The following is a 26,705-nucleotide window of genomic DNA, read 5'->3' as shown; positions in this document are numbered from 1 at the left end:
AGGCATCATCCACTTTGTCTCCTCTTAATTGGTGAGATTTAAAAATTCTAATCTAACATAAGTACCACAGAAACTAAAGGTTTTAATTTCTTTAGACAACTATACCCATGGTTCTTTATATTCCTAGTAATATCTTAATGTACCTGAGGCAGTCAAATGTTGGCTGGCAGAAATTTTCTTGACTAATCAATCTATTAGTATGCATTTCTATATATTTGATACTGGACTAGTATTTGACTGTGAGTTTTCTAATTTTTTTTTTTTTTTTTTTTTGAGATGGAGTATCACTCTTGCCCAGGCTGGAGTGCAGTGGCGCAATCTCGGCTCACTGCAGCCTCCACCTCCTGGCTTCAAGCAATTCTCGTGCCCCAGCCTCCCAAGTAGCTGGGATTACAGGCATATGCTGCCACGGCCGGCTAATTTTTGTGTTTTTAGTAGAGATGGGGTTTCACCATGTTGCCTGGGCTGGTCTTGAACGCCTGACCTCAGGTGATCCACCTGCCTCGGTCCCCAAAAGTGTTGGGATTACAGGCGTGAACCACTGTGCCCGGCCTAGTTTTGTAATTTGACCAGTTATTTTTTTCTTATATGTAAAATGGGGATAATAAATTGATATATTTACCTGACAGGATTGTTGTAAGAATCAAGTAAGATAATACACGTGAAAAGACTTCAAAAATTATAAAGAACTATTCAAATACAAGGGAGAGATTCCTGTATCTCATAAAATTTTGCAGCATTTTTTTACTTTGATATTTTGAAAATATTTTTACCTAATTTAAGTGGCAGACATAAAAACAATATTTAAAAAGTTATAAAAATGAACTGCACTTGGGGGAAAATATTCATTTTTACCTAATTTTTGCCTTCGAATTATATTTCTAATAGATTGTTTTTATTTTCTCTCCTAGGTACCTCTTCAGAAGACTATCAGAAATGCCATAGAAAAACGTAAGAACTAAAAATTTTAAAATTGTTGAGCTTCTGAAACCCTGTATTATAATAGTTATATAGCAAATATGATTGTTAGTCCACAAACTCAGGTGTTCATTTATTATTTGTTGAGGACTCACTATGTGTCAGGACTGTTGTAATTGCTAGAGATATAGTAGTGAACAAAATTGATTAAAAACGAAATCTCTGCCCTCAGCAATGATAGCAAAAAGGAAAAGTTTGAGAAAAATTCAAGAGGGATAGTCAATAGTTTTTAGTGACAGATTGGAAGAAGTTGAAATCCAAGTTGGCTCTCAGCCCTCTGACTTAGGAAATTGGATGAAAACTTGTTCACTAGGTGAGGGAACACAAATGAAAACACAAGAGTGGGTTGGGGTAATACTGAGGTACCGACAGCACTTTGAAGTGGAGATGTCCAACAACAAATTGGATGGCCCAGCCTGGAGAGCAAGGTAAAAGTCCTGGGCTGAAGGCATAGTTGTCTCCTTGGGAAAGAATGTAGAGTGAGAAGAGAGTAGCGTTAGTATGATAGCCTCTTTATAAATATGCCTGTATCTAAATGGTGAGAAATTTCTGAAGAAAAGAAAATCTGTTAGCTGTTTTTTTGGGTGAATTGTCCTTCAGTAAATGACAGTGACAATTGTAAATATAAATGACTAAGGTGACCAGAGATGATGATGGACTTGCTTAAAAAATTCCTTCCACAATTTATAATGTAATATTTTCTTAAGGAGGATAGAATGGTATTTGGATAATAATGATACCAGATTTGAGTGCCTATTATCTACTAGACATCTGGCATTCTCTTTATTTAAGTAGCACATTCACAAAGTAAAACCCCTACAACTTTGACTTAGTAGCTAATGGAGACGGGGTTTTATTTATATTGCGATAACTTCTTTGTAGATCCACTTTAATGACTGTTGCCTATGTATTGAAATGGAGCAAATGTAATAAAACACTTGATTATGTGTATCTGAGACTATTTCCTGTCTCACCTAAATACTGACCTCTCTTTGAAAAATAAAACCTACTACTTACATGTGCAAAGAAAACATAGCTTCATTTATTTTTTTTTTTAAATAACTCATCTAAACTTCTCTTAAACCCTCATCACCCTTCTCCCCTATTTAGCTGGGAAATAATGAGTTAAACTTACTTACTGTCATCCATTTACTTCTGGTTAGAAGTCCTCTTTGGGTAAATGCTGAATCTCGGATTTTCTCCCCATTCCATAGTCCTGAGAATGGCATATTGGTAGGTGATCATATCCCTTTATCTGCCTGGGCAGTTTCAGTATATGCCTGTTTTTCTGACATAATTCTTAATAGAGTACCCTTGTACTCTCAGAAATGTTCCAGTTTGGACAAATAGTCACCCTAAATGTTAAGTGTTTAGGAATAGGGGCAGACCTTACGTAGCCTTGTAGCAGTGCTGGGGAAAGGGTAAGGTTGGGATCTGAGGGTATCTGGAATCCCATAAGCTGTCTCTGGATTTTTACTGATACATGCTGCAAGGCTTCTAGACTGGTTCTATACCTGGTCTGGGCTCCACTGAAAAAATCATTGACTCATAAACTTAAGGCCTTATTTAGGACCTGAGGTCCTCCATTGCTGATTTTACCTCACCTTGGTTTTTGTTGTTTTCTCAAACCCTTTGAGTCTCATTGAAGTCCTATATCCAGACTTTGACTGGGTGGCTTTCCACAACCTTTGTAGTAGAGTCACTTCACCACAGAACACCTATGCCAGGTGTTTTGGCTGTAAATTTGGCCACTTTCTTCATTGCCCTTGGTGTATGGAACCTTGAGAACTTGTTCTCAATGCCCAGGAATTAAGAGAATCTCAGGAGAGCTAACTGATGCCCCCTCTCTGCCTGAACATCCCCAGCTCTTCTTGTTATGTTGTTTCCACCCTGTATGGACATCTCCTAGAGTTCTAAACAGGGAGTTAGTACATACTCCCTCTTCTTTTGACTTTCTCTTCATCTCTTCTAATGTCATCTTCCCATTTATTACCCCTATCTGCATATTTGGGCCTTGAGGGAGAAAAGTCAGCTCCCATTGTCTGCTTGTTTTCTAAGTCTTTGTCCCCCTTCTCTTTCTAATAATGCTCTAGACTGGAAGGTGTGGAGGAGAGATCTATCTTTGTTAACTTCCTTAGCTTTTTCTGTATCATATGGTTGTCTTAGTCTGTTTTCTGTTGCTTATTACAAAATACCTGAAACTGGGCAATTATATTATAAAGAAAAAGAATTCCTTTCCTTCCCTTTCCTTCCCTTCCCTTCCCTTCCCTTCCCTTCCCTTCCCTTCTCTTCCCCCTTCCCTCTTCCCCCTTCCCCTTCCCCTCCCCTCCCCTCCCTTCCTTTTTCTTTTTCTTTTCTTTTTCTCCTCTTTCTCTCTCTTTCTTTCTCTCTCTCTCTCCCCTTCCTTCCATCTGTCTGTCCATCCTTCTTCCTTCCTTCCTTCTTTCCTTTCTTTCTTTCTTTTTTTTTTTTTTTGAGACAGAGTCTTACTCTGTTGCCCAGGCTGGAGTGCGGTGGCACCATCATAGCTCACTGTAACCTCGAACTCCTGGGTTCAAGTGATCCTCCAGCCTCAGCCTCCTGAGTAAATAGGACTACAGGCATGTGCCACCATGCCTGGCTAGGAATTTATTTCTTACAGTTATGGAGGCTAAGAATTCTAAGGCCAAGGCTGCAGTTAGTGAGGGCCTTCTTGCTGATGGGGACTCTCTGCAGAGTCCCGAGGTGGCACAGGGCATCACATAGCAAAGGGACTGAACATGGTAGCTCAGGTCTCTCTTTTTCCTCTTGTAAAGCCAATCGTACCATTCCCATGATAACATATTAATCCATTACTCCATTAATCCATGAATGGCTTAATCCATTTATGAAGGCAGAGCCCTCATGATCCAGTCACCTCTTAAAGACCCTGTCTCTCAATACTACCACGTTGGCTATTAAATTTCAACACGAATTTTGGAGGGGACAAACATTCAAACCATAGCAATGGCTAATAGTAGAACTCTGTAGTTGTGTTTTAACTTACATATGTTAATAGGAACTTGAGGAATGTAGCAAAATGTTAAATGTGGTTTTCATGTTGTCTTAGAGTTTGGACAGTGGCCTTACTGATGAACACAAATCGTTGACAAGTACCCCCATTCCTTATTCTGTGTAGAATTATCTATGTGGAGTTTGTAAAAGGTGAAGTCAAAACCCAATTCTACCAGCATTAGCTTATTACTCATCTCCAAACTAAGAAAAGGCTAAGAATACATGGAGAGGATGAAAAGTCCAAGAATGTGTGTTTCTTTGATAAGAGCTATATATTGGTGTCACATGGAGCGAGGAGTCTTCTCCCTCACCTCAACACAAGAAAGGAAGCTCCAAGAGAACCATTTGGAAGGTTCAACATATGTCACTGGGAGTTAGTTTCTGACTCATACCCGGAAGGTCTAAAGGCAAAGAGGGTCTGTTAGGTGCTTTGGAATGGCAGAATAAAGAGGAAGCTAGATATACTTTCAGAGTTTGACATGACAAAGATTTGTGCATAATGCCAATAGGCCAAATATGGATTCCATAGAAGGGGGCTAATTATGATCATCTTGAAAGGGATTATGCCCAATATGACTTCCTGCAAAGGATGAAGTAACCTCACTCAAAAGCAGCTGGAGGTTCCATCATCAAAGGCAAAAGCTGAGGAGATGATAAAAAGCAGCAAGTGAGAGAGCTCCGGTGATAGGTAGAGCTCCAGTGATAGGTAAACCTCCAACGAACCCTTCAGAATACTTCAAGTTTAAAAGGGTCCACATTTGATTATGTGTCATATCCCAGAGATACCAATGGCACATAACTATATCAGTCAAGATTGAGAAAGACTTTCCTGTACATTTCTAAAACTCCTTTCCTATAATTCACTGCCAGAGGAACCCAAAGTGTAGTTTCCAAATAGGCAAGGGAAAAGAACAAGAAACAGAGATGAAACCAATGGTGGTTGCTCTTCCCACAGCATATTCTGAGTCTAAATCATGCCCAAGCTGAGAAAAGGAAAAAATTTAAATTGCATAAGGAGAGTTTGGATTTGTAATATTACACTGAACTTTTTGTTACCTAAAAATAGCTACTTATTACAAGAGAATGCCAGAAAGGTGTTAGTAAAAAGAAATCTACCTGAAAGTTCATTCAGAGGCGAGAAGGTACTATTTTGACAGGATACGTTTAAAAGGAAATATGAAAGAATAAAATTGTTTCTGTTTACTGAGTTCAACTATTCAATTAATCAGTGTAGGAATTTAGAAAATTCCCTTCTCACATTTGGTTTTCAACTGCATTTTCTTGCTACGGACTCAGAAATCCCATTTTTGTGGTCAGAGGCTGAGCTTTGATCCTTTCTTATTTATTCCTTTTGTGATAGCTAGTCCTTTCCTACACATTTAGATAGAACTGGGGGTTGTCTAGTTTGTAGAAGTACAAAATAAAAAAACCCCAGGATATTAATTTCAAAAAAACCTTTTACTGCAGTCTAGCCTGGGTAACAGAGCAAGACCCTCTCTCAATAATAATAATAATAATATAATAATAATAATAATCAATCTGTCATGTATCTTAAAATTCTTTCCACAAGAATCTTAGGAAACATGATTGCTATCCCTTTTGCATAAATGAGGTAACCAAGACTCAAGACAGGCTAAGTAGCTTTCCAAAGGCCACCCAAGTGTGAGTAGTGGAACTGGAGTTTAAAGCAAGGTCTGTCTTATTCTAAACACTATGCCCTGTCCTCTACGCATATTGTTTCACACTCATAAATGTATAAATATATTGCCTTTTTTATTAAACTATTTGTTCATATAAATACCATAACATTTTTCTAAGCAACTGTATATTTTCCCACAGGATAATTAATCTCAAATAAATATCTTTATTTTAAGTATTATTTGAGGGTTTTTGAAAGTTACTGAAGGATTTAGAAAATACCACTAAACAGTTTGTTCTTGTTATAGAGTGATGACAGTAGCAGATCAAAATGTTTCTCCAAAAGCAAAGTGTGCTTCAAATTCAGAATCAGGTAACAAATAATGAAACTAATTATTTTATGTAGTAATTGTAATATTTATGTTAAAACACGATTCTGTGTTTATTTTTGCTACCTGCAACATGCATTAACAAAGTTAGTAGCCCAGTGAACCGAGTACTTTTTAGCTTGGTTGTATTTAAGAAATGAAGATATGTGGGATCAGAAAGTGGGTCTTAGCTATCCCCACAGCATCAATCATTTATTCATTTAATAAACATTTAATGAATATGAACTCCATACTAGATATTGTTATATATACTAGTGGAAGTGATACACTTTTCCTCCCCTTGTAGATTTCAGTTGTAGGAGAGGACAATAAGTGAACATATATTGTAGTTATGCATAATGATTGAAAAATAAAGGGATAAGCAAAGTGTCTTGCAAACCCTTATGTAGTTTACTATTAGGATAAATTTAGCAAGACATTTACATCCTTATTAACCTCTGCTGTATCTCATATTTTTCTATATTTCCTGCATCAAGTTTTATAGCATCCATTTGAGAGTAAACTTGAAGAATTGCTGATTTTGCTCTTGATGGTTGTAAATGTTTGTATGTATATATATTTGCATAATCTTCATTTTAAGAAGTTATCTTAATGAGCATTTACTAAATGCCACACATTAAGTTAGGAACTGTAGGTATAAAACAATTAATATACTTTCTGTTCTAAGCAAAATTAGTCTAGTGATAAAAACTAATCTTGTAAAAGCACAAAATCCTTGGAAGGAGCAATACCTTCTACCCTGGAGGGTTAGCATTGGAAGAAGGATTTGTTTTACAGATCAAAGAATAAGGGAATGTGTGAATAACAGATGAGCACTAATTAAAGGGAAAGTGGTAAGTGTACCAAAATCAACCATGATTTTACCTAGGTTTTGCCAAATAAAAAGTGTTGCTTTAGCTGTGGAAAATATTTACAAAGCTTGGTGGTAGGGCAGAATAGTGATTCTTGAATTCTGTATGTTTCTGTATTCTTACTTTTATATGGTAACTTAAAATTTAAAATTAAATAAGCCACTTACTCTAGAGATTTTTTTTTACACATTTCTTTTTACAATTTTTTTATTATTAATATTTGTGGATACATAGATGGTGTATATATTTATGGCTTACATGAGATATTTTAATACAGGCATGCAATGCATAATAATCACATCAGGGTAAGTAGGGTATCCATGCCCTCAAGCATTTATCCTTTGTGTTACAAATAATACAGTTATACTCTTTTAGTTATTTTTAAATGTATAATTAAATTATTTTTTACTACAGTCATGCTGTTGTGCTAGCAAATACTAGGTCTTATTCATTCTTTCTATTTTTTTGTACCCATTAACCATCCCCACCTTCCCTACAAACCACTCCCCCTCTCCAACTATCCTTCTCAGCCTCTGGTAACCATCCTTCTATTCTCTATCTCCACGAGTTCAATTGTTTTTGTTTTAGATCCCACAAATAAGTGAGAACAAGTGATATTTGTCCTTCTGTGCCTGGTTTATTTCACTTATCATAATGACCTTCAGTTTCATTCATGTTGTTGTAAATGACAGGATCTCATTCTTTTTTAAGGCTGAATAGTACTCCATTGTGTTTATGTACCACATTTTCTTTATCCATTCATCTGTTGATGGACACTTAGGTTGCTTCCAAATCTTGGCTGTTGTGAATAGTGCTGAAACAAATGCGGGAGTGCAGATACCTCTTTGATACACTGATTTCCTTTTGTTTGCGTATATACTCAGCAGTAGGATTGCTGGATCGTATGATACCTCTATTTTTATGTTTTCGAGGAAGCTCCAAACAGTTCTCCTTAGTGGTTATATTAATGTACATTCCCACCAACAGTATACGAGGGTTCCCTTTTCTCCACATCCTCACCGGCATGTTATTGCCTGACTTTTGGATAAACGCCATTTTAACTGGGGTAAGATGATATGACATTGTAGTTTTGATTTGCATTTCTCTGATGATCAGTGATGTTGAGCACCTTTTCATAGACCTGTTTGCCATTTGTATGTCTTCTTTTGAGAAATGTCTGTTTAGGTCTTTTGCTCATTTTTAATTGGATTATCAGATTTTTGTTTTTCCTATAGAGTTGTGTGAGCTCCTTATATATTCTGGTTATTAATCCCTAATTAGGTGGAGTAGTTTGCAAATATTTCCCCCCATTCTATGGGTTGTCACTTCACTTTATTGATTGTTTCCTTTGCTGTGCAGAAGCATTTTAACTTGATGTGATCTCATTTGTAATTTTGCTTTGGTTGCCTGTGTTTGTGGGGTATTACTCAAGATATCTTTGCCCAGCCCAATGTCCTAGAGACTTTCCCCAATGTTTTCTTGTAGTAGTTTCATAGTCTGAGGTCTTAGATTTAAGTTTTTAATCCATTTTAATTTGATTTTTGTATATGGCAACAGACAAGGGTCTAGTTTCATTCTTTTTCATGTAGCTATCCAGTTTTCCAAGCACCATGTTAAAGAAACTGGCCCTTCCCCAAAGAATGTCCTTGGCACCTTTGTAAAAAATGAGTTCGGTGTAGATGTATAGATTTATCTATGGGTTCTCTTTTCTGATTCCTTGGTCTATGTGTCTGTTTTTTATGCCAGTACCATGCTGTTTGGGTTACTGTAGCGCCATAGTATAATTTAAAGTCACGTAATGTGATTTCTCAGTTTTGTTATTTTTGCTCAGGTTAGCTTTGACTATTCTGGATCTTTTGTGTTCCATATAGATTTTAGTACTTTATTTGTATGAAGAATTTCATTGATATTTTGATAGGGATTGCATTAAACCTACAGATTGCTTTGGGTAGTGTGGCCATATTTACAATATTGATTCTTTCAGTCCATGAACATGGAATATCTTTCCAATTTTTTGCTGTCTTCTTCAATTTTTTGCATCAGTGTTTCATAGTTTTCATTGTAGAGATCTTTCAGATCTTTGGTTAAGTCCCAGATATTTTAGTTTATTTGTTGCTCTTGTAAATGGTATTACTTTCTTGACTTCTTTTTCAGGTTGTTCACAGTTGGCATATGAAAATGCCACTGATTTTTATATGTTGATTTTGTATCAAGTAACTTTGCTAATTTATTTATCAGTTCTACTAGTTTTTTGGTGGAATCTTTAGTTTTTCTTTTAAGTATAAGACCATGTCATCTGCAAACAAAGATAATTTGACTTCTTCCTTTGCAATTCAGATGCCCTTTATTGCTTTCTCTTGTCTGACTGCTCTAGCTAGACTTCCGATACTATGTTGAATAATAATGGTGAAAGTGAGCATCGTGTCTTCTTCCAGGTTTACAAAGAAAGGCTTTCAGTTTTTCCCCATTTAGTATGATACTAGCTGTAGGTCTGTCATATATTGGCTTTTATTATATTGAGGTATGTTCCTTCCGTACCTACTGTTTTGAGAATTTTTATCATGAACGGATGTTGAATTTTATCACGATTTTCTAGCATAATTTAAATGATCATATGGTTTTTTTCCTTTATTCTGTTGATATGATGTATCATATTGATTGATTTGCATAGGTTGAACCATCCTTGCGTCCCTGGGGTAAATCTCACTTGGTCTGGAAGAATGATCTGTTTAATATGTTGTTGAATTCAGTTTGCTATTTTGTTGAGGATTTTTACATCAGTATTCTTCAGAGATATTGGCCTATAGTTTTCTTTTTTTGATATGTCTTTGTCTGGTTTTTGTATCAGGGTAATACTGATAGCATTGAATGAGTTTGTCAGTATTCCTTCATCCTCTATTTTTTGGAACAGTTTGAGTAGGATTGGTATTAGTACTTCTTTAAATATTTGGTAGAATTCAACAGTGAAGTCACTAGGTCCTGGAATTTTCTTTACCAGGAGACTTTTTATTATAGCTTCAATCTTGTTACTTGTATTGTCCTGTTCAGGTTTTGGATTTATTTATTTATTTATTTTGAGACGGAGTCTCACTCTGTTGCCCAGGTTGGAGTGCAGTGGCACAATCTCAGCTCACTGCAACCTCTGACTCCCGGGTTCAAGTGACTCTCTTGCCTCAGCCTCCTGAGTAGCTGGGATTACAGGCGCATGCCACCACGCCCGGCTAATTTTTGTATTTTTAGTAGAGATGGGGTTTCACCATGTTGGTCAGGCTGGTCTCGAACTCCTGACTTCGTGATCCGCCCACCTTGGCCTCCCAAAGTGCTGGGATTACAGGCGTGAGCCACCTGCCCGGCTCAAGGTTTTGGGTTGCTTCATGGTTCAGTCATACTAGATTGCATATGTCTACTGGCATGTAGTTGCTCATAGTAGATACTAATGATCCTTTGAATGTCTGCAGTATCAGTTGTAATGTCTCCCTTTTCATCTCTGATTTTATTTAATTGGGTTTTCTCTCTTGTTTCTTAGTCTGGCTACAGGTTTGTCAGTTTTTTTTTTACAAGAAACCAATTTTTTGTTTCATTGCTTTTTTGTATTGTTTTCGAATTCATTTGTTTCTGCTCTGATCTTTTTTTTCTACTAATTTTGGGTTTGGTTTGCTCTTTTTTAGTTCTTTTAGATGCATTGTTAGGTTGTTTATTTGAAGTTTTTATTCTTTTTGATATAAGCATTTGTAACTGTAAATTTCCCTGTTAGTACTGCTTTCACTGTAGCCTGTAGGTTTTGGTATGTTGTATTTCCATTATGATTTGTTTCAAGAATATTTTCAGTTTCCTTCTTAATTCTTCATTGACTCACTAGTCATTCAGGAGCATATTGTTTAATTTTCATGTGTTTGTTAGTTTCCAAAATTCCTCGTTATTTTTTATCTTTTATTTTAGATTCAGGTGTAAACATATCTAATTTGTTATGTAGATAAATTGTGTGTCTGTTACAGTAGTTTGGTGTGCAGATTATTTCTTCATCTATGTAATAAGCATAGTACCTGATAGGTACTTTTTCAATAGTCACCCTCCTCTCACCCTCAAGTAGGCCCCAGTGTCTGTTGTTCCTTCTTTCTGTCCATATATACCCAATGTTTAGGTCCCACTTATAAGTGAGACTGTGCAGTATTTGGTTTTCTGTTCCTGTATTAGTTTGCTTAGAATAATGGCCTCCAGATTTATCTGCGTTACTGCTGAGGACATATTCTTATTCTTTTGTATGACTGCATGGCATTCCATGGTGTATATGTACCACATTTTTTTTCTCTAGTCTACCATTGATGAACATTTAGGTTGATTCCATGTCTTTGCTATTGTGAATAATGCTGTGATAAATATGTGCTTGTATGTGTCTTTATGGTAGAATAAGTTATATTCCTTAGGGTATATACCCAATAATGGGATTGCTGGGTCAAATGGTAGTTCTGTTTTTAGCTGTTCGAGGAATTACCACACTGCTTTCCACAATGGTTGAAATAATTTACACTCCCACTAACAGTATATAAGCATTCTGTTTTCTCTGCAACTTTGTCAGTATCTGTTACTTTTTTACTTTTTAATAATAGTCATTCTGACTAGTGTGAGATGGTATCATTGTGGTTTTGATTTGCATTTCTCTAATGATTAGTGATGTTGAGCATTTTTGCATGTTTGTCGGTCGTGTGTATGTCTTCTTTTGAAGAGTGTCTGTTCATGTCCTTTGCCCACTTTTTAATGGAATGGTTCTTTGCTTATAAATTTGTTTAAATTCCTTATAGATTCTGATATTAGACCTTTGTGAGATGTATAGTTAGCAAATATTTTCTCCCATTCTGTAGATTATTGATTCTGTTGATAGTTTCTTTTGCTGTGCAGAAGCTCTTTAGTTTAATTGGGTCCCATTTGTCATTTTTGCTCTCATAGCAATTTCTTTTGGCGTCATTGTTATGAAGTCTTTGCCATGTCCTTTGTCCAGAGTGGTATTTCCTAGGTTATTTTCCAGGGTTTTGATAGTTTTGAGTCTTAGATATACGTCTTTAATCCATCTTGAGTTAATTTCTGTTTATGGTGTAAGGAAGGGATCTCCAGTTTCAGTCTTCTGCATATGGCTGGCCAGTTATCCCAGCACCATTTATGGAATGGTCCTTTCCCCATTGCTTGTTTTGGTAGATTTGTCAAAGATCTGGTGGTTATGTTTGGGTTCTCTATTTTGTTTCTCTATTGGTCTGTGTGTTTATCCATTTCTTCTAGGTTTTCTAGCTTGTGTGCATAGAGGTGTTTATAATAGTCTCTGAGAGTTTTTTGTATTTCTGTGGGGTCAGTGGTAATGTCTCCTTTGTCATTTCTAATTGTGTTTATTTGGCTCTTCTCTTTCTTTTCTTAATCTAGCTAGTGGTCTATCAGATTAATTCTTTTAGAGAAGTAGCCCCTGATTCATTGATGTTTTGTATGTTTTTTTTCATCTTAGTTTCCTTTAGTCTGATTTTGGTTATTTATTGTCTTCTGGTAGCTTTGGGGTTGATTTGCTCTTGTTTTTCTAGTTCCTCTAGTTGCGGTATTAGGTTGTTAATTTGAGTTATTTCTGACTTTTTGATGTGAGCTTTTAGTGCTATAAACTTCCCTCTTACATTGCTTTGGCTATGTCCCAGAGAGTCTGGTATGTTGTATCTTCTTCCTCATTAGTTTCAAAAAAGTTATTGATTTGTGCCTTAATTTCATTATTTACCCAGAAGTCGTTCAGGAGCAGGTTTTTAAAATTTCCATTTAATTGTATGGGGTTTTTTTCACTTCTTTAAAAATTATACTTTAAGTTCTGGGATACATGTGCAGAACGTGCAGGTTTGTTACATAGGTATACACGTGGTGGTTTGCTGCACCCATCAACCCTTCACCTACATTAGGTATGTCTCCTAATGCTATTCCTCCCCTATCCTCCAACCCCCCGACAGGCCCTGGTGTGTGATGTTCCCCTCCCTGTGTCCATGTGTTCTCATTGTTCAACTTATAAATGAGAACATGTGGTGTTTGGTTTTCTGTTTCTGTGTCAGTTTGCTGAGAATGATGGTTTCCAGCTTCATCCATGTCCCTGCAAAGGACATGAACTCATCATTTTTTATGGCTGCATAGTATTCCATGGTGTATATGTGCCACATTTTCTTAATCCAGCCTATCATTGATGGGCATTTGGGTTGGTTCCAAGTCTTTGCTATTGTGAACAGTGCTGCAATAAGCATACGTGTGCATGTGTCTTTATAGTAGTATGATTTATAATCCTTTGGGTATATACCCAATAATGGGATTGCTGGATCAAATAGTAGTTCTGATTCTAGATCCTTGAGGAATCGCCACACTGTCTTTAATACTTTTACACTATTGGTGGGAGTGTAAATTAGTTCAATAATTGTATGATTTTGAGCAATTTTCTTAGCAGTTATTTCTATTTTTATTGCTCTGTGGTCTGAGAGAGTGGTTGGTATGATTTCATTTCTTTTGAAATTTGCTGAAGATTCTTTTGTACCTGACTTTGTGATCAGTGTTTGCCATGTGCATATAAGGAGAATGTGTATTCTGTTGGTTTGGGGTGGAGAGTTCTGTAGATATCTATTAGATCCATTTGGTCAAGTGTTGTGTTAAGGCTCTGAATATCTTTGTTAGTTTTCTGCCTTGACAATCTGTCTGATACTGTCAGTGGGTGTTTAAATGTCCCATTATTATTCTGTGGTTTTCTAAATCTCTTCATAGGTCTCTAAGAACTTGCTTTATGAATCTGGGTGCTCCTGTGTTAGGTGCATATATATTTAGGAAAGATAGGTCTTCTTGTTGAATTGAGCCCCATAATGCCCTTCTTAGATTATGTAATGCCCTTCTTTGTCTTTTTTTGATCTTGGTTAAAGTCTGTTTTGTCCAAAATGAGAATAGCAGCATCTGCTTTTTTTCCGTTATTTTTTTGTTTTTTTGTTTTTTTTTAATTGGCTTGGTAGATTTTTTTTTCATCCCTTTACTTTGAGTGTGTGAGTGTCATTGTATGTGAGATGGATCTCTTGAAGACAGCATACTGTTGGGTTTTGTTTCTTTATCCAACTTGCCACTCTGTGCCTTTTAATTGGGAGTATTTAGCTCATTTACATTCAAGGTTAGTATTGATATGTGTGGATTTGGTCCTTTTGTCATGTTGTTAGTTGGTTATTATGCATACTTGTTTGTGTGGTTGCTTTGTAGTGTCACTTGTCTATGTACTTAAGTGTGTTTTTTGTAGTGGCTGGTAACGGTCTTTCTTTTCCATATTTAGCACTCCTTTTAGGACCAGTTGTAAGGCAGGTCTTGTGCTAACAAATTTGTCTGAAAAGGATCTTATTTCTCCTTTGCTTATGAAGCTTGGTTTGGCTGGATATGAAATTCTTGGTTGAAAATTATTTTCTTTTATAATGCTGAATATAGGCCCCCATTCTCTTCTGGCTTATGGGGTTTCTGCTGATAGGTCTGCTGTTAGCCTAATGGGATTTCCTTTGTAGGTGACCTGCCCCTTCACTCTAGCTGACTTTAACATTTTTTCTTTCATTTTGACCTTGGAGAATCTGATGACTGTGTGTCTTGAGACTGGTCTTCTTATGTAGTATTTTGCAGGGGTTTTCTGCTTGTCCTGAATTTGAATGTTGGCCTCTCTAGTGAGCTTGGGGAAATTTTCATGGATGATATCTTGAAATGTTTTCCAAGTTGCTTGGTTTCTTTCCTTCTCTTTTAGGTGTACCAATGACTCATAGATTAGGCCTCTTTACATAATCACATATTTTTTGGAGGTTTTGTTCATTCTTTGTCATTGTTTCTTCTTTATTTTTATCTGAGTTCTTTTGTACATCCAGGCTTCAACCTCTGAGATTCTTTCCTCAGCATGGTCAATTCTACTCTTAATACTTGCGATTGCATTATGAAATTCTCAGAGTGTATTTTTTAGCTCTGTTGCATCAGTTCAGTTCTTTCTTATAATGGCCATTTTGTCTATCAGCTCTGGTATCATTTTATTGTAATCCTTAGATTCCTTGGATTGGGTTTCGACTTTCTACTGTATGTCGATGATCCTCGTTCCTATCCATATTCTGATTCCTATTTCTGTCATTTCAGCCATCTCAGCATGGTTAACAATCATTGCTGGGGAACTAGTGGGGTTTTTGGGAGGTAAGAAGACACTCTGGCTTTTTGAATTGCCAGAGTTTTTGCACTGGTTCTTTCCCATCTTTGTGGGCTGATGTTTCTTCAGTCTTTGAAGTTGCTGTCTGTATTATTCATTTTTGCATTACTATAAAGAAATATCTGAGACCGGGTTATTTATAAAGAAAAGAGGCTTAATTGGCTCATGGTTCTGCAGGCTGTACAGGAAGCATGATGCTGAAGCTGTACCTGTACAGGAAGCATGATGTACAGGAAGCAAGATGTACAAGAAACCATCTTCCTGGTTTCTGGGGAGGCCACAGGAAACTTCTTCTTTTTTTTTTTAAATTGAGAAAGATCTCACTCTGTCACCCAGGCTAGAGTGCAGTGACACCATCTTGGCTTACCACAACCTCCACCTCCCAGGTTCAAGTGATCCTCCCACTTCAGCCTTCTGAGTAGCTGGGACCACAGGTGTGCACCACCATACCCAGCTAATTTTTTGTATTTTAGTAGAGACAGGGTTTCACCGTGTTGCCCAGGCTGGTCTCGAACCCCTGAGCTCAAGTGATCCACTCGCCTTGGCCTCCCAAAGTTCTGGGATTGCAAGCATGAGCCATTGTGCCCAGCAATCTCAGGAAACTTACAGTCATGGCAGAAGGCAAAGAGGGAGCTGGCACTTCACATGGCTGGAGCAGGAGAAGAGAGACAGGGAGAGGGAGGAGGTACTATACACTTTTAAAGGACCAGATCTCATGAGAACTCACTATCATGATAACAGCACCAAGAGGGTGGTGCTAAAGCACTTATGAGAAACTACCCCCATGATCTAATCACCTTTCACTAGGCCCCACCTCCAACATTGGACCCACTTCTAAATCTCATGACCAAACATGAGATTTGGTCAGGGGCACAGATCCAAATCATATCACTGCCCTTTGGATTTTTTTTTCTTTTGCCCTGTTTGATATCCTTGGGGGTTTTCTTGTTGTATAAGGTGGGTTCAGTCAACTGGTTTTGTTTCTGGAAGATTTTGTGGGGGGCCAAGGCTCAGCTCAGGACCTCTGGATTGTGTGCTCCAATTCTGTGGGGCTGGTATCAGGCCCCTGGCTTTGTTCTCTGGCCCCTTGAGGTGAGAAACCTGCTCACCAAGGGCCAAGGTGTTCCCAGACTGCTGGTCACAGCACTCTGATGAGTGGTGCCAGCCAAAGCTCTTCACAGGGCAGTGGCAGTGGGATTTGTACATGCCAGCAGCAGTGGCAGTGCAGCAGGGTACATACTTGTTGATTATGGCAGGGTGCTGGCAATTGTAGGGGTACCAGTGTCCATGCAGGTATTAACAGTGGTGGGGTTGGCAGCATGGCACAGGGGGGAACAGGCCCCACTGGGGTCCGTGTGCACATTCACACTGGTGGCGATGTTAGGACGAGGTGGGTGCTGGCAGGTATGGGACTCTGTGTGCCATCTGTACAGGTATCCATGCAGGCAGCAGTGGCCGCTCAGGGTAGGGGAAGGTCTGCCGGTCTCCCTATATAGTTTTGTGCCAATGGCAGTGTCAGCACAGGGACAGAGCATTGGTAGGTGTGGGACTGACGCCATCTGTGCGTGCATTCATGTGAGTGGCAGTGGCCTTGCAGGGTGTGGGGTAGGTCTGTTGGTCACCATGTGCAGTTTCACGCCAGTGGCAGTGTCAACACAAGAACAGGGCACTGGCAGGCATGGGGCTAGCAGTCTTCATGCCTGCAAATGCTTCGACAGCAATGGCAGCATGGTGGGTGAGTGGGTGGGGTGCACAGCAAGGTCCACCCATGCATACATGTGCAAGCAAAGCGGTCTAGGTGTTGGACATGGGCAAATGTGTGCAGGCAAAGCCGCACAAGGGAGGCTGCAGCAGGGGGAGGGCATGGGAGGGCTGGCGTACATCCACAGTGTCTGCTCTCCTGGAGCTCTGTACCAGTCAGGAGCAGTCTGCCAGCACAGGAGCTATGATGCTGCTCTCCCAGGAGGCACCCCACCTGGGCATCTGAGGCTACATTCAAGCAAGTGCTGCCAGGCTGGATCCCCAGGATAGGCAGGCCAACCAAGAGGTGACCAGGTAGACCAGCCCTATCTCATGGGCAAGACTACCCTGGGCTGTTCAAGTCCAACAGTTCCCCTAGGGCTAAAATCTCCTAGAGGAGGAAGGCAAGCCTTGGGGGATGGGCGTCCTTGGCTATGCTCCACTGCACATGCTCCAACACCAAACCCTCCGAGATCTGCACCAGCTGGAGTTCTGCCCCTACAGAACAAGTGTCTGTGGGGGTCATGAGGTCTCCTGCCAGGATTCCAGAGGCCCATGGTAAGGGTGGGTTGCTACTTGCCTGCTCAACTCACCCCTTCCCCAGGAGTCATTGGGGCCAGGAATGAGTCCCAGTGCGCCTTAGCCCTCTGCAGGGTTCCCAGCTTCTTTTTCCTTTAGCCTAGCATCTATGTCTTCCTTCACTCTCAATGCCTTCCCTCTGAAGATCTGCTAGGAATTCACCAGTCTTCCCAATGTCCCATTCCCTCAGCGACAGATGTTCCTCCTGGCTGTGTCTAGTCAGCCAACTTACCTCCCTCTTCCCTCTTGTTATTGACTTGTAGTTTTATTTCATTGTGGTCAGAGAAGATGTTTGATATTATTTTAGTTTTTTGGAATGTTTTAAGACTTGTTTTGTGACCTAACATATGACCTTGAGACTGATCCATGTGCTGAGGAAAAAAATGTATATTCTGAACCCATTGGATAAAATTTTCTGCAAATATCTATTAGGTTTATTTGTTCTAAATAATTGAAGACAAATGAATAAGTGAAGATTAAGTCCAATGTTTCTTTGTTGACTTTCTGTTTGGAAGATCTGTCCAGTGCTGAAAGTGGAGTGTTGCAATCTCCAGCAATTTTTGTATTAGGGCCTATTTTTCTCTTTAGCTGTAATATGTTTGCTTTATATATCTGGATGACCCAGTGTTAGGTGCATATATATTTAAAATTATTACATCTTCTTGCTGAATTGACCCCTTTATCATTATATATAACCTTCTTTGTCTTGAAATCTGTTTTGTCTGATATAAATATAGCTACTCCTGCTCTTTTTTGACTTCCATTGGCATGGAATATTTCTTTGCATCCCTTTATTTACAGTCTGTGTGTGTCTTTATAGGTGAAGTGTGTTTCTTGAAGAAAACAGATCACTGGGTCTTGTTTTTTTTTTTTTTTTTTTAAATCCATTCAACCACTCTGTGTCTTTTGATTGGACAGTGTAGCCCATTTACATTCAGTGTTACTATTGATAAGTAGAGACTTACTCCTGACATTTTGTTATTTCTGGTTGTTTTGTGGCCTTCTTTCTTTCCTTTTTGTGTTCCTATTAATGAAGGTGATTTACTCTAGTGGTATAGTTTAATTTCTTATTATTTTTTGTGTATCTGTTGTATGTTTTTTGATTTGAGGTTACTATGAGGCTTGTAAATACTATCTTATAATCCATTATTTTAAGCTGATCACAACTTAACATTGTTTGCATAAACAAACAAGTGAAAAGAAAACTAATAAAACTACATCTTAGCTTCATCTCCCCACTTTTTAACTTTTTGTTGTTTTTATTTATATCTTATTGCATTATGTCTTGAAAAGTTATTGTAGTTATTATTTTTGGCTAGTTCATCATTTAGTCTTTCTAATTGAGATAAGAGTAGAGGTCAGTTCCAAGATGGCTGAACAGGAACAGCCCCGGTCTGCAGCTCCCAGCGTGATCGACACAGAAGATGGGTAATTTCTGCATTTCCAACTGAAGTACCTGGTTCATCTCATTGGGACTGCTTGGACAGTGGGTACAGCCCGTGGAAGGCAAGCCGAAGGAGGGCGGGGCATTGCCTTACCCGGGAAGTGCAAGGGGTCAGGGGATTTCCCTTTCCTAGCCAAGGGAAGCCATGACAGACTGTACATGGAAAAACGGGACACTCCTGCCCAAATACTGTGCTTTTCCCACTGTCTCAGCAACCGACAGACCAGGAGATTCTCTCCCGTGCCTCGCTCACGGGGTCCCATGCCCACGGAGTTTTGCTCACTGCTAGCGCAGCATCCTGAGATTGACCTGTGAGGGTGGAGCCTGGCATGGGGAGGGCCTTCCGCCATTGCTGAGGCTAGAGTTGGTAAACAAAGTGGCTGGGAAGCTCGAACTGGGCAGAGCCCACCGCAGCTCAGCAAGGCTTACTGCGTCTATAGACTCCACCTTTGTGGGCAGGGCATAGCTGAACAAAAGGCAGCAGAAACTTCTGCAGACTTAAATGTCCCTGTCTGACAGCTCTGAAGAGAGCAGCAGTTCTCCCAGCACAGCGTTTGAGCTCTGAGAATGGACAGACTGCCTCCTCAAGTGGGTCCCTGACCCCCGTGTAGCCTAACTGGGAGACACCTTCTAGTAGGGGCCAATAGACACCTCATATAGGCGGCTGCCCCTCTGGGACAAAGCTTCCAGAGGAAGGATCAGGCAGCAATATTTGTTGTTCTGCAATATTTGCTGTTTTGCAGCATCTGCTGGTGATACCCAGGCAAATAGGGTCTGAGGTGGACCTCCAGCAAACTCCAGCAGACCTGCAGCTGAGGGACCTGACTGTTATAAGGAAAACTAACAAACGGAAAGGAATAGCATCAACATCAACGAAAAGGACATCCACACCAAAACCCCATCTGTAGGGCACCAACATCAAAGACCAAAGGTAGATAAAACCACAAAGATGGGAGGAAACCAGAGCAGAAAAGCAGAAAATTCTAAAAACCAGAGCACCTCTTCTCCTCCAAAGGATCGCATCTCCTCGCCAGCAACAGAGCAAGGCTGGATGGAGAATGACTTTGATGAGTTGACGGAAGTAGGCTTCAGAGGGTTGGTAATAACAAACTTCTCTGAGCTAAAGGAGCATGTTCTAACCTATTGCAAGGAAAAACCTATTTCAAGCTAAAAACCTTGAAAAAAGGTTAGACGAATGGCTAACTAGAATAAACAGTGTAGAGAGGACCTAAAATGACCTGATGGAGCTGAAAACCATGGCATGAAAACTTCATGATGCATGCACGAGCTTCAATAGCCGATTTCATCAAGTGGAAGAAAGGATATCAGTGATTGAGGATCAAATTAATGAAATAAAGCGAGAAGACAAGATTAGAGGAAAAGGAATGAAAAGGAACAAACAAGCCTCCAAGAGGCTTCTGGGACTATGTGAAAAGACCAAATCTACGTTTGACTGGTGTACCTGAAAGTGATGGGGAGAATGGAACCAAGTGGGAAAACACTCTTCAGGATATTATCCAGGAGAATTTCCCCAACCTAGCAAGGCAGGCCAACATTCAAATTCAGGAAATACAGAGAACACCACAAAGATACTCCTCGAGAAGTTACTCCTCCCTAAGACACATAATTGTCAGATTCACCAAGGGTGAAATGAAGGAAAAAATATTAAGGGCAGCCAGAGAGAAAGGTTGGGTTACCCACAAAGGGAAGCCCGTCAGACTAACAGTGGATCTCTTGGCAGAAACTCTACAAGCCAGAAGAGAGTGAGGGCTAATATTCAGCACTCTTAAAGAAAAGAATTTTCAACCCAGAATTTCATATCCAGCCAAACTAAGCTTCATAAGTGAAGGAGAAATAAAATCCTTTCCAGACAAGCAAATGCTGAGAGATTTTGTCACCACCAGGCCTGCCTTACAAGACCTCTTGAAGGAAGCATGAAACATGGAAAGGAGCAATTGCTACCAGCCACTGCAAAAACATGCCAGATTGTAAAGACCACCGATGCTAGGAAGAAACTGCATCAATTAACGGGCAAAATAACCAGCTAACATCATAATGACAGGATCAAATTCACACATAATAATATTAACCTTAAATGTAAAATGGGCTAAATGCCCCAATTAAAAGACACAGATTGGCAAATTGGATAAAGAGTCAAGACCCATCAGTGTGCTGTATTCAGGAAACCCATCTCATGTGCAGAGAAACACATAGGCTCAAAATAAAGGGATGGAGGAAGATATACCAAGCAAATGGAAAGCGAGAAAAAGCAGTAGTTGCAATCCTAGTCTCTGATAACACAGACTTTAAACCAACAAAGATCAAAAGACACAAAGAAGGCCATTACATAATGGTAAAGGGATCAATTCAACAAGAAAAGCTAACTATCCTAAATATATATGCATCCAATACAGGAGCACCCAGATTCATAAAGCAAGTCCTTAGAGACCTACAAAGAGACTTAGACTCCCACACAATAATAATGGGAGACTTTAACACCCCACTGTCAATATTAGATCAGTGAGACAGAAGGTTAACAAGGATATCCAGGACTTGAACTCAGCTCTGCACCAAGCAGACCTAACAGCCATCTACAGAACTCTCCACCCCAAATCAACAGAATTTACATTCTTCTCAGCACCGCATTGGACTTGTTCTAAAATTGACCACATAATTGGAAGTAAAGCACTCCTCAGCACATGAAAAAGAACAGAAATCACACAAACTGTCTCTCAGACCACAGTGCAATCAAATTAGAACTCATGATTAAGAAACTCACTCAAAACCACACAACTACATGGAAACTGAACAACCTGCTCCTGAATGACTACTGGGTAAATAACGAAATCAAGGCAGAAATAAAGATGTTCTTTGAAACTAATGAGAACAAAGACACAATGTACCAGAATCTCTGGGACAAAGCTAAAGCAGTATGTAGAGGGCAATTTATAGCACTAAATGCCCACAAGAGAAAGCAGGAGAGATCCAAAATCGACACCCTAACATCACAATTAAAAGAACTAGAGAAGCAAGAGCAAGCAAATTCAAAAGCTAGCAGAAGGCAAGAAATAACTAAGATCAGAGCAGAACTGAAGGAGATAGAGACACAAAAAACCCTTCAAAAATCAGTGAATCCAGGTGCTGGTTTTTTGAAAAGATCAACAAAATTGATAGACCACTAGCAAGACTAATAAAGAATAAAAGAGAGAAGAATCAAATAGACACAATAAAAAATGATAAAGGGGATATCACCACTGATCCCAGAAATACAAACTACTATCAGAAAATAATATAAACACCTCTATGCAAATAAACTAGAAAATCTATAAGAAATGGATAAATTCCTGGACACATACACCCTCCCAAGACTAAACCAGGAAGAAGTTGACTCTCTGAATAGACCAATAACAGGCGCTGAAATTGAGGCAATTATTAATATCCTGCCAACCAAAAAAAGTCCAGGACCAGACTGATTCCCAGTTGAATTCTACCAGAGGTACAAAGAGGAGCTGGTACCATTCCTTCTGAAACTATTCCCATCAATAGAAAAAGAGGGAATCCTCCCTAACTCATTTTATGAGGCCAGCATCATCCTGATACCAAAGCCTGGCAGAGACACAATGAAAAAAGAGAATTTTAGACCAATATCCCTGATGAACATCGATGTGAAAATCCTCAGTAAAATACTGACAAACCAAATCCAGCAGCACATCAAGAAGCTTATCCACCATGATCCAGTGGGCTTCATCCCTGAAATGCAAGGCTGGTTCAACAAATGCAAATCAATAAACGTAATCCATCACATAAACAGAACCAAAGACAAAAACCACATGATTATCTCAACAGATGCAGAAGAGGCCTTCGACAAAATTCAACAGCCCTTCATGCTAAAAATTTTCAATAAACTAGGTATTCATGGAATGTACCTCAAAATTTATGACAAACCTACAGCCAATATCATACTGAATGGGCAAAAATTGGAAGCATTCCCTTTGAAAACTGGCCCAAGACAAGGATGTGCTCTCTCACCACTCCTATTCAACATAGTGCTGAAAGTTCTGGCCAGGGCAACCAGGCAAAAGAAAGAAATAAAGGGTATTCAGTTCGGAAAAGAGGAAGTAAAATCGTCCCTGTTTGCAGATGACATGATTGTATATCTAGAAAACCCCATCGTCACAGGCCAAAATCTCCTTAAGCTGATAGGCAACTTCAGCAAAATCTCAGGATACAAAATCAATGTGCAAAAATCACAAGCATTCCTATACACCAATAACAGACAAACAGGGAGCCAAATCATGAGTGAACTCCCATTCACAATTGCTACAAAGAGAATAAAATACCTAGGAATCCAACTTACAAGGGATGCAAATGACCTCTTCAAGGAGAACTACAAACCACTGCTCAACAAAATAAAAGAAGACACAAACAAATGGAAGAACATTCCATGCACATGGATAGGAAGAATCAATATCATGAAAATGGCCATACTGCCCAAGGTAATTTATAGATTCAGTGCCATCCCGATCAAGCTACCAATGACTTTCTTCACAGAATTGGAAAAAACTACTTTCAAGTTCATATGGAACCAAAAAAGAGCCTGCATTGCCAAGTCAATCCTAAGCCAAAAGAACAAAGCTGGAGGCATCACACTACCTGACTTCAAACTATACTACAAGGCTACAGTAACCAAAACAGTGTGGTACTGGTACCAAAACAGACATGTAGACCAATGGAACAGAACAGAGGCCTCAGAAATAACACCACACATCTACAACCGTCTGATTTTTGACAAACCTGAGAAAAACAAGCAATGGGGAAAGGATTCCCTATTTAATAAATGGTGCTGGGAAAACTGGCTAGCCATATGTAGAAAGCTGAAACTGGATCCCTTCCTTACACCTTATACAAAAATTAATTCAAGATGGATTAAAGACTTAAATGTTAGACCTACAACCATAATAACCTTAGAAGAAAACCTAGGCAATACCATTCGTGACGTAGACATGGGCAAAGACTTCATGACTAAAACAACAAAAGCAATGGCAACAAAAACAAAAATAGACAAATGGGATCTAATTAAACTAAAGATCTCCTGCACAGCAAAATAAACTACAATCAGAGTGAAGGAAACTACCATCAGAGTGAACAGGCAACCTACAGAATGGGAGAAAATTTTTGCACTCTACTTATCTGACAAAGGGCTAATATCCTGAATCTGCAAGGAACTTAAACAAATTTATGGAGTGGACCCAAGATGGCCGAATAGGAACAGCTCCAGTCTGCGGGTCCCAGCATGAGCGACGCAGAAGATGGGTGATTTCTCCATTTCCAATTGAGGTACCGGGTTCATCTCACTGGGGAGTGCTGGAAAGTGGGTGCAGGACAGTGGGTGCAGCACACCATGCGTGAGCTGAAGCAGGGCGAGGCATCGCCTCACCCGGGAAGTGCAAGGGGTGAGAGAATTCCCTTTCCTAGTCAAAGAAAGGGGTGACAGATGGCACCTGGAATATCGGGTCGCTCCCACGCTAATACTGCGCTTTTCCAACGGGCTTCACAAATGGCACACCAGGAGATTATATCCCCCACATGGCTCAGAGGGTCCTACGCCCATGGAGCCTTGCTCATTGCTAGCACAGCAGTCTGAGATCAAACTGCAAGGCAACAGCGAGGCTGGGGGAGGGGCGCCCACCATTCCCAAGACTTGATTAGGTAAACAAAGCGGCTGGGAAGCTCTAACTGGGTGGAGCCCACCACAGCTCAAGGAGGCCTGCCTGCCTCTGTAGGCTCCACCTCTGGGGACAGGGCACAGACAAACAAAACGCAGCAGTAACCTCTGCAGACTTAAATGCCCCTGTCTGACAGCCTGACACCTCACATGGCCGCATACTCCTCTGAGATAAAACTTCCAGAGGAACGATCAGACAGCAGCATTTGTGGTTCACCAATATCTGCTGTTCTGCAGCCACCACTGCTGATACCCAGGCAAACAGGGTCTGGAGTGAACCTCCAGCAAACTCCAACAGACCTGCAGCTGAGGGTCCTGACTGTTAGAAGGAAAACTAACAAACAGTAAGGACATCCGCACCAAAAACCCATCTGTACGTCACCATCATCAAAGACCAAAGGTAGATAAAACCACAAAGATGGGGAAAAAACAGAGCAGAAAAACTGGAAACTCTAAAAATCAGAGCACCTCTCCTCCTCCAAAGGAACGCAGCTCCTCACCAGCAATGGAACAAAGCTGGACGGACAATGACTTTGACGAGTTGAGAGAAGAAGGCTTCAGATGATCAAACTACTCCGAGCTAAAGGAAGAAGTTCGAACCAATAGCAAAGATATTAAAAACCTTGAAGAAAAATTAGATGAATGGATAACTAGAATAACCAATGCAGAGAAGTCCTTAAAAGACCTGATGGAGCTGAAAACCACGGCACAAGAACTACGTGACGAATGCATAAGCCTCAGCAGCCAATGCAATCAACTGGAAGAACGGGTATCAGTGATGGAAGATGAAATGAATGAAATGAAGTGAGAAGAGAATTTTAGAGAAAAAAGAATAAAAAGAAACGAACAAAGCCTCCAAGAAATATGGGACTATGTGAAAAGACCAAATTACGTCTGATTGGTGTACCTGAAAGTGACGGGGAGAATGGAACCAAGCTGGAAAACACTCTGCAGGATACTATTCAGGAGAACTTCCCCAATCTAGCAAGGCAGGTCAACATTCACATTCAGGAAATACAGAGAACGCCACAAAGATACTCCTCGAGAAGAGCAAATCCAAGACACATAGTTGTCAGATTCACCAAAGTTGAAATGAAGGAAAAAATGTTAAGGGCAGCCAGAGAGAAAGGTTGGGTTACCCACAAAGGGACGCCCATGAGACTAACAGCTGATCTCTTGGCAGAAACTCTACAAGCCAGAAGAGAGTGGGGGCCAATATTCAACATTCTTAAACAAAAGAATTTTCAACCCAGCATTTCATATCCAGCCAAACTAAGCTTCATAAGTGAAGGAGAAATAAAATCCTTTACAGACAAGCAAATGCTGAGAGATGTTGTCACCACCAGGACTGCCCTAAAAGAGCTTCTGAGGGAAGCACTGAACACGGAAAAGAACAACCGGTACCATCCACTGCAAAAACATGCCAAATTGTAAAGACCATCAAAGCTACGAAGATGCTGCATCAACTAATGAGCAAAATAACCAGCTGACATCATAATGACAGGATCAAATTCACACATAACAATATTAACCTTAAATGTAAATGGGCTAAATGCTCTAATTAAAAGACACAGACTGGCAAATTGGATAAAGAGTCAAGACCCATCAGTGTGCTGTATTCAGGAAACCCATCTCACATGCAGAGACACATAGGCTCAAAATAAAGGGATGGAGGAAGATCTACCAAGCAAATGGAAAACAAAAAAAGGCAGGGGTTGCAATCCTCGTCTCTGATAAAACAGACTTTAAACCAACAAAGATCAAAAGAGACAAAGGAGGCCATTACATAATGGTAAAGAGATCAATTCAACAAGAAAAGCTAACTATCCTAAATATATATGCATCCAATACAGGAGCACCCAGATTCATAAAGCAAGTCCTTAGTGACCTACAAAGAGACTTAGATTCCCACACAATAATAGTGGGAGACTTTAACAACCCACTGACAACATTAGACAGATCAACAAGACAGAAAGTTAACAAGGACATACAGGAATTGAACTCAGCTATGCACCAAGCGCACCTAATAGACATCTACAGAACTCGCCACCCCAAATCAACAGAATATACATTCTTTTCAGCACCACACCACACCTATTCCAAAATTGACCACATAGTTGGA

The 26,705-nt window shown here is 39.7% G+C and overlaps 1 protein-coding gene across 1 annotated transcript in view; it reads left to right on the top strand.

Moving 5' to 3' along the window:
• The window catches only part of MEIKIN (meiotic kinetochore factor), a 138,674-nt gene that overhangs the window by 27,827 nt on the left and 84,142 nt on the right, over positions 1-26,705 (top strand). The window contains exons 7-8 of the mRNA NM_001303622.2: positions 912-951; positions 5,958-6,022. Coding sequence (NP_001290551.1) covers positions 912-951; positions 5,958-6,022 — 105 coding nt within the window. The remainder of the gene's footprint in view (positions 1-911; positions 952-5,957; positions 6,023-26,705) is intronic.

Source organism: Homo sapiens, chromosome 5 (genome assembly GCF_000001405.40).
Source record: "Homo sapiens chromosome 5, GRCh38.p14 Primary Assembly".
Classification (NCBI taxonomy): Eukaryota; Metazoa; Chordata; class Mammalia; order Primates; family Hominidae; genus Homo; species Homo sapiens.
Note: the sequence above shows the minus strand (reverse complement) of the source record. Positions and strands in the feature narration are given on the sequence as shown.